This window comes from Homo sapiens, chromosome 10 (genome assembly GCF_000001405.40).
Source record: "Homo sapiens chromosome 10, GRCh38.p14 Primary Assembly".
NCBI lineage: Eukaryota > Metazoa > Chordata > Mammalia > Primates > Hominidae > Homo > Homo sapiens.
Genome location: NC_000010.11, coordinates 109,545,384 through 109,551,383, shown reverse-complemented (window position 1 = coordinate 109,551,383; position 6,000 = coordinate 109,545,384).

Genomic DNA, 6,000 nt, shown 5'->3' with positions numbered 1-6,000 from the left:
TGTCCATGCCTATGTCCTGAATGGTATTGCCTAGGTTTTCTTCTAGGGTATTTACGGCTTTAGGTCTAACATTTAAGTCTTTAATTCATCTTGAATTATTTTTTGTGTAAGGTGTAAGGAAGGGATCTGGTTTCAGCTATCTACACATGGCTAGCCAGTTTTTCCAGCACCACTTATAAAATAGGGAATCCTTTCCCCATTGCTTGTTTTTCTCAGGTTTGTCAAAGATCAGATAGTTGTAGATATGCAGCATTATTTCTGAGGGCTCTGTTCTGTTCCACTGGTCTATATCTCTGTTTTGGTACCAGTAGCATGCGTTTTGGTTACTGTAGCCTTGTAGTATAGTTTGAAGTCAGGTAGAATGATGCCTCCAGCTTTGTTCTTTTGGCTTAGGATTGACTTGGCAATGCGGGCTCTTTTTTGGTTCCATATGAACTTTAAAGTAGTTTTTTCCAATTCTGTGAAGAAAGTCATTGGTAGCTTGATGGGGATGGCATTGAATCTATAAATTACCTTGGGCAGTATGGCCCTTTTCACGATATTGATTCTTCCTACCCATGAGCATGGAATGTTCTTCCATTTGTTTGTATCCTCTTTTATTTCATTGAGCAGTGGTTTGTAGTTCTCCTTGAAGAGGTCCCTCACATCCCTTGTAAGTTGGATTCCTAGGTATTTTATTCTCTTTGTAGCAATTGTGAATGGGAGTTCACTCATAATTTAGCTCTCTGTTTGTCTGTTATTGGTGTATAAGAATGTTTGTGATTTTTGCACATTGATTTCGTATCCTGAGACTTTGCTGAAGTTGCTTATCAGCTTAAGGAGATTTTGGGCTGAGATGATGGGGTTTTCTAGATATACAATCATGTCATCTGCAAACAGGGACAATTTGACTTCCTCTTTTCCTAAATGAATACCCTTTATTTCTTTCTCTTGCCTAATTGCCCTGGCCAGAACTTCCAACAATATGTTGAACAGGAGTGGTGAGAGAGGGCATCCCTGTCTTGTGCCAGTTTTCAAAGGCAATGCTTCCCATTTTTGCCCATTCAGTATGATATTGGCTGTGGGTTTGTCATAAGTAGCTCTTATTATTTTGAGATACGCTCCACCAATATCTAGTTTATTGAGAGTTTTTAGCATGAAGCACTGTTGAATTTTGTTGAAGGCCTTTTCTGCGTCTATTGAGATAATCATGTGGTTTTTGTCATTGGTTCTGTTTATATGCTGGATTACATTTATTGATTTGCATGTACTGAACCAGCCTTGCATCCCAGGGATGAAGGCAACTTGATCTTGGTGGATAAACTTTTTGATGTGCTGCTGGATTTGGTTTGCCAGTATTTTATTGAGGATTTTTACATGGATGTTCATCAGGGATATTGGTCTAAAATTCTCTTTTTTTGTTGTGTCTCTGCCAGGTTTTGGTATCAGGATGACGCTGGCCTCATAAAATGATTTAGGGAGGGTTTCCTCTTTTTCTGTTGATTGGAATAGTTTCAGAAGGAATGGTACCAGCTCTTCTTTGTGTCTCTGGTAGAATTCAGCTGTTAATCTGTCTGGTCCTGGACTTTTTTTGGTTGGTAGGCTGTTAATTACTGCCTCAATTTCAGAGCCTGTTATTGGTCTATTCAGAGATTCAGCTTCTTCCTGGTTTAGTCTTGGGAGGGTGTATGTGTCCAGGAATTTATCCATTTCTTCTTGATTGTCTAGTTTATTTGTGTAGAGGTGTTTATAGTATTCTCTGATGGTAGTTTGTATTTCTGTGGGATCAGAGTTGATATCCTGTTTATCATTTTTTATTGCATCTGTTTGACTCTTCTCTCTTTTCTTCTTTATTAGTCTTGCTGAGGTTCTATCAATTTTGTTGATGTTTTCAATAAAACAGCTCCTGGATTCATTGATTTTTTGAAGGTTTTTTGTGTCTCGATCTCTTTCAGTTCTGCTGTGATGTTAGTTATTTCTTGCCTTCTGCTAGCTTTTGAATGTGTTTGCTCTTGCTTCTCTAGTTTCTTAAATTGTGATGTTAGGGTGTCGATATTAGATCTTTTCTGCTTTCTCTTGTGGGCATTACTGCTATAGATTTCCCTCTATACAGTGCTTTAAAAGTGTCCCAGAGATTCTGGTATGTTGTCTCTTCATTCTCATTGGTTTTGAAGAACATCTTTATTTCTGCCTTCATTTTGTTATTTACCCAGTAGTCTTTCAGGAGCAGGTTGTTCAGTTTCCATGTAGTTGTGCAGTTTTGAGTGAGTTTCTTAATCCTGAGTTCTAATTCGATCGCACTGTGATCTGAGAGACAGTTTGTTGTGATTTCTGTTCCTTTGCATTTGCTGAGGAGTGATTTACTTCCAATTTTATGGTCAATTTTAGAAGTGTGATGTGGTGCTGATAAGAATGTATATTCTATTGATTTAGCATGGAGAGTTCTGCAGATGTCTATTAGGTCTGCTTGGTGCAGAGCTGAGTTCAAGTCCTGGATATCCTTGCTAACATTTTGTCTCGTTGATCTGTCTAATGTTAACAGTGGGGTGTTAAAGTATCCCATTATCACTGTGTGGGAGTCTAAGTCTCTTTGGAGGTCTCTCAGGACTTGCTTTATGCATCTGGGTGCTCCTGTATTGGGTGCATATATATTTAGGATAGTTAGCTCTTCTTGTTGAATTGATTCCTTTACCATTATGTAATGGCCTTCTTTGTCTCTTTTGATCTTTGTTGGTTTAAAGTCTGTTTTATCAGAGACTAGGATTGCAACCGCTGCTTTTTTTTTTTTTTGCTTTCCATTTGCTTTGTAGATCTTCCTCCATCCCTTTATTTTGAGCCTATGTGTGTCTCTGCACATGAGCTGGGTCTCCTGAATACAGCACACTGTTGGGTCTTGACTCTTTATCTAATTTGCTGTCTGTGTCTTTTAATTGGGGCATTTAGTTCATTTACACTTTAGGTAAATATTGTCATGTTGAATTTGATCCCGTCATTATGATGTTAGGTGGTTATTTTGCCCATTATCTGATGTAGTTTCTTCATAGCATCTGTGGTCTTTACAATTTGGCATGTTTTTGCAGCGGCTGGTACCAGTTGTTCCTTCCCATGTTCAGTGCTTCCTTCAGGAGCTCTTGTAGGGTAGGCCTGGTCGTGACAAAATCTCTCAGCATTTGCTTGTCTGTAAAGGATTTTATTTCTCCTTCACTTATGAAGCTTAGTTTGGCTGGTTATGAAATGCTGGGTTGAAAATTATTTTCTTTCAGAATGTTGAATATCGGCCCCCACTCTCTTCTGGCTTGTATGGTTTCTGCCGAGAGATCTGCCATTAGTCTGATGGGCTTCCCTTTGTGGGTAACCTGACCTTTCTCTCTGGCTGCCCTTAGCATTTTTTCCTTCATTTCAACCTTGGTAAATCTGACAATTATGTGTCTTGGGGTTGCTGTTCTCGAGGAGTATCTTTGTGGTGTTCTCTGTATTTCCTGAATTTGAATGTTGGCCTGCCTTGCTAGTTTGGGGAAGTTCTCCTGGATAATATCCTGAAGAGTGTTTTCCAGCTTGGTTCCATTCTCCCCGTCACTTTCAGGTACATCAATCAAACGTAGATTTGGTCTTTTCACATAGTCCCATATTTCTTGGAGGCTTTGTTCATTTCTTTTTACTCTTTTTTTCTCCAAACTTCTCACCTCATTTCATTAATTTGATCTTCAATCACTGATATCCTTTCTTCCACTCAATCAAATCAGCTACTGAGGCTTGTGCATGCGTCACGTATTTCTCGAGCCATGGTTTTCAGCCCCATCAGGTCATTTAAGGTCTTCCCTACATTGTTTATTCTAGTTTGCCATTCATCTAATCTTTTTTCAAGGTTTTTAGCTTCCTTGCGATGGTTTATAACGTGCTCCTTTAGCTTGGAGAAGTTTGTTATTACCAACTTTCTGAAGCCCATTTCTGTCAAATAGTCAAAGTCACTCTCCATCCTCCTTTGTTCCATTGCTGGCGAGGAGCTGCAATCCTTTGGAGGAGAGGGGGACCTCTGGTGTTTAGAATTTTCAGTTTTTCTGCTCTGGTTTCTCCCCATTTTTGTGGTTATATCTACCTTTGGTCTTTGATGATGGTGACCTACAAATGGGGTTTTGGTGTGGATGTCCATTTTGCTCATGTTGATGCTTTTCCTTTCTGTTTGTTAGTTTTCCTTCTAACAGTCAGATCCCTCTGCTGCAGGTCTGTTGGAGTTTGCTGGACATCCACTCTAGACCCTGTTTGCCTGGGTATCACCAACAGAAGCTGCAGAACAGCAAATATTGCATAACTGCAAATATTGCTTCCTGATCCTTCCACTGGAAGCTTCGTCTCAGAGGGGCATCTGGCTGTATGAGGTGTCAGTCGGCCACTACTAGGAGGTGTCTCCAAGTTAGGCTACACAGGGTTCAGGGACCTACTTGAGGGGGCAGTCTGTCCATTCTCAGAATTCAAACACCATGCTGGGGAGAACTACTGCTCTCTTCAGAGCTGTCAGACAGGGACGTTTAAGTCTACAGAAGTTTCTGCTGCCTTTTGTTCAGCTATGCCCTGCCCCCAGAGGTGTAGTCTACAGAGGCAAGTGGGCCTCCTTAAGCTGTGGTGGGCTCCACCCAGCTAGAGCTTCCCGGATGCTTTGTTTACCTACTCAAGCCTCAGCAATGGTGGACACCCCTCCCCCAGCCAGGCTTGCCACCTTGCAGTTTGATCTCAGACTAGCAGTGAGCAAGGCTCTGTGGGCATGGGACCCACTGAGCCATGTGCAGGATATAATGTCCTGGTGTGCCGTTTGCTAAGACCATTGGAAAAGCACAGTGTTTAGGTGGCAGTGTACCAATTTTCCCAGTACAGTCTGTCATGACTTCCCTTGGTTAGGAAAGGGAAATCCCCTGACCCCTTCCACTTCCTGGGTGAGGCGACGCCCCACCCTGCTTTGGCTCACCCTCTGTGGGCTGCAACCACTTTCTGACTAGTCCCAAGGAGATGAACCAGGTACCTCAGTTGGAAATGCAGAAATCACCTGTCTTCTGTGTTAATCATGCTGGGAGCTGCAGACCAGAGCTGTTCCTATTCACCATCTTGGAATGGACTGTTGTTAGTTTTCCTTCTAACAGTCAGGTTTCTCAGCTGCAGGACTGTTGGAGTTTGCTGGAGGTCTACTCCAGACCCTGTTTGCCTGGGTATCACCAGCAGAGGCTGCAGAACAGCAAACATTGCAGAACAACAAATATTGCTGCCTGATCCTTCCTCTGGAAGCTTTGTTTCACAGGGGCACCTGCCTATATGAGGTGTCTGTCAGCCCCTACTGGGAGGTGTCTGTCGTCCCCTACTGGGAGGTGTCTCCCAGTTAGGCTACATGGGGGTCAGGGACCCACTTCAGGAGTCAGTCTGTCCATTCTCAGAGCTCAAACACCATGCTGGGAGAACCGCTGCTCTCTTCAGGGCTGTCAGGCAGGGACCTTTAGGTCTGCAGAAGCTGTCTGCTACCTTTTGTTCAGCTATGGCCTGCCCACAAAGGTGGAGTCTATAGAGGCAGATGCCTTGCTGAGCTGTGGTGGGCTCCACCTGTTCAAGCTTCCCAGCTGCTTTGTTTACCTACTCAAGCCTCAGCAATGCCAGACGCCCCTTCCCAAGCCAGGCTGCTGCCTTGCAGTTGAATCTCAGACTGCTGTGCTAGCAGCAAGCAAGGCTCCATGGGTGTTGGACCCATGAAGCCAGGCACGGGAGAGAATCTCCTTGTCTGCCAGTTGCCAAGACCTTGGGAAAAGTGCAGTATTTGGGTGGCAGTGTCCAGTTTTTCCAGATACAGTCTGTCACGGCTTCCCTTGGCTAGGAAAGGGAAATCCCCTGACCCCTTGTGCTTCCTGGGTGAGGCGACACCCTGCCCTGCTGTGGCTCACCCTCTGTGGGCTGCAACCACTGTCCAACCAGTCCTAATGAGATAAATTGGGTACCTCAGTTGGAAATGCAGAAATCACCCATCTTCTGTGTCGATCATGCTGG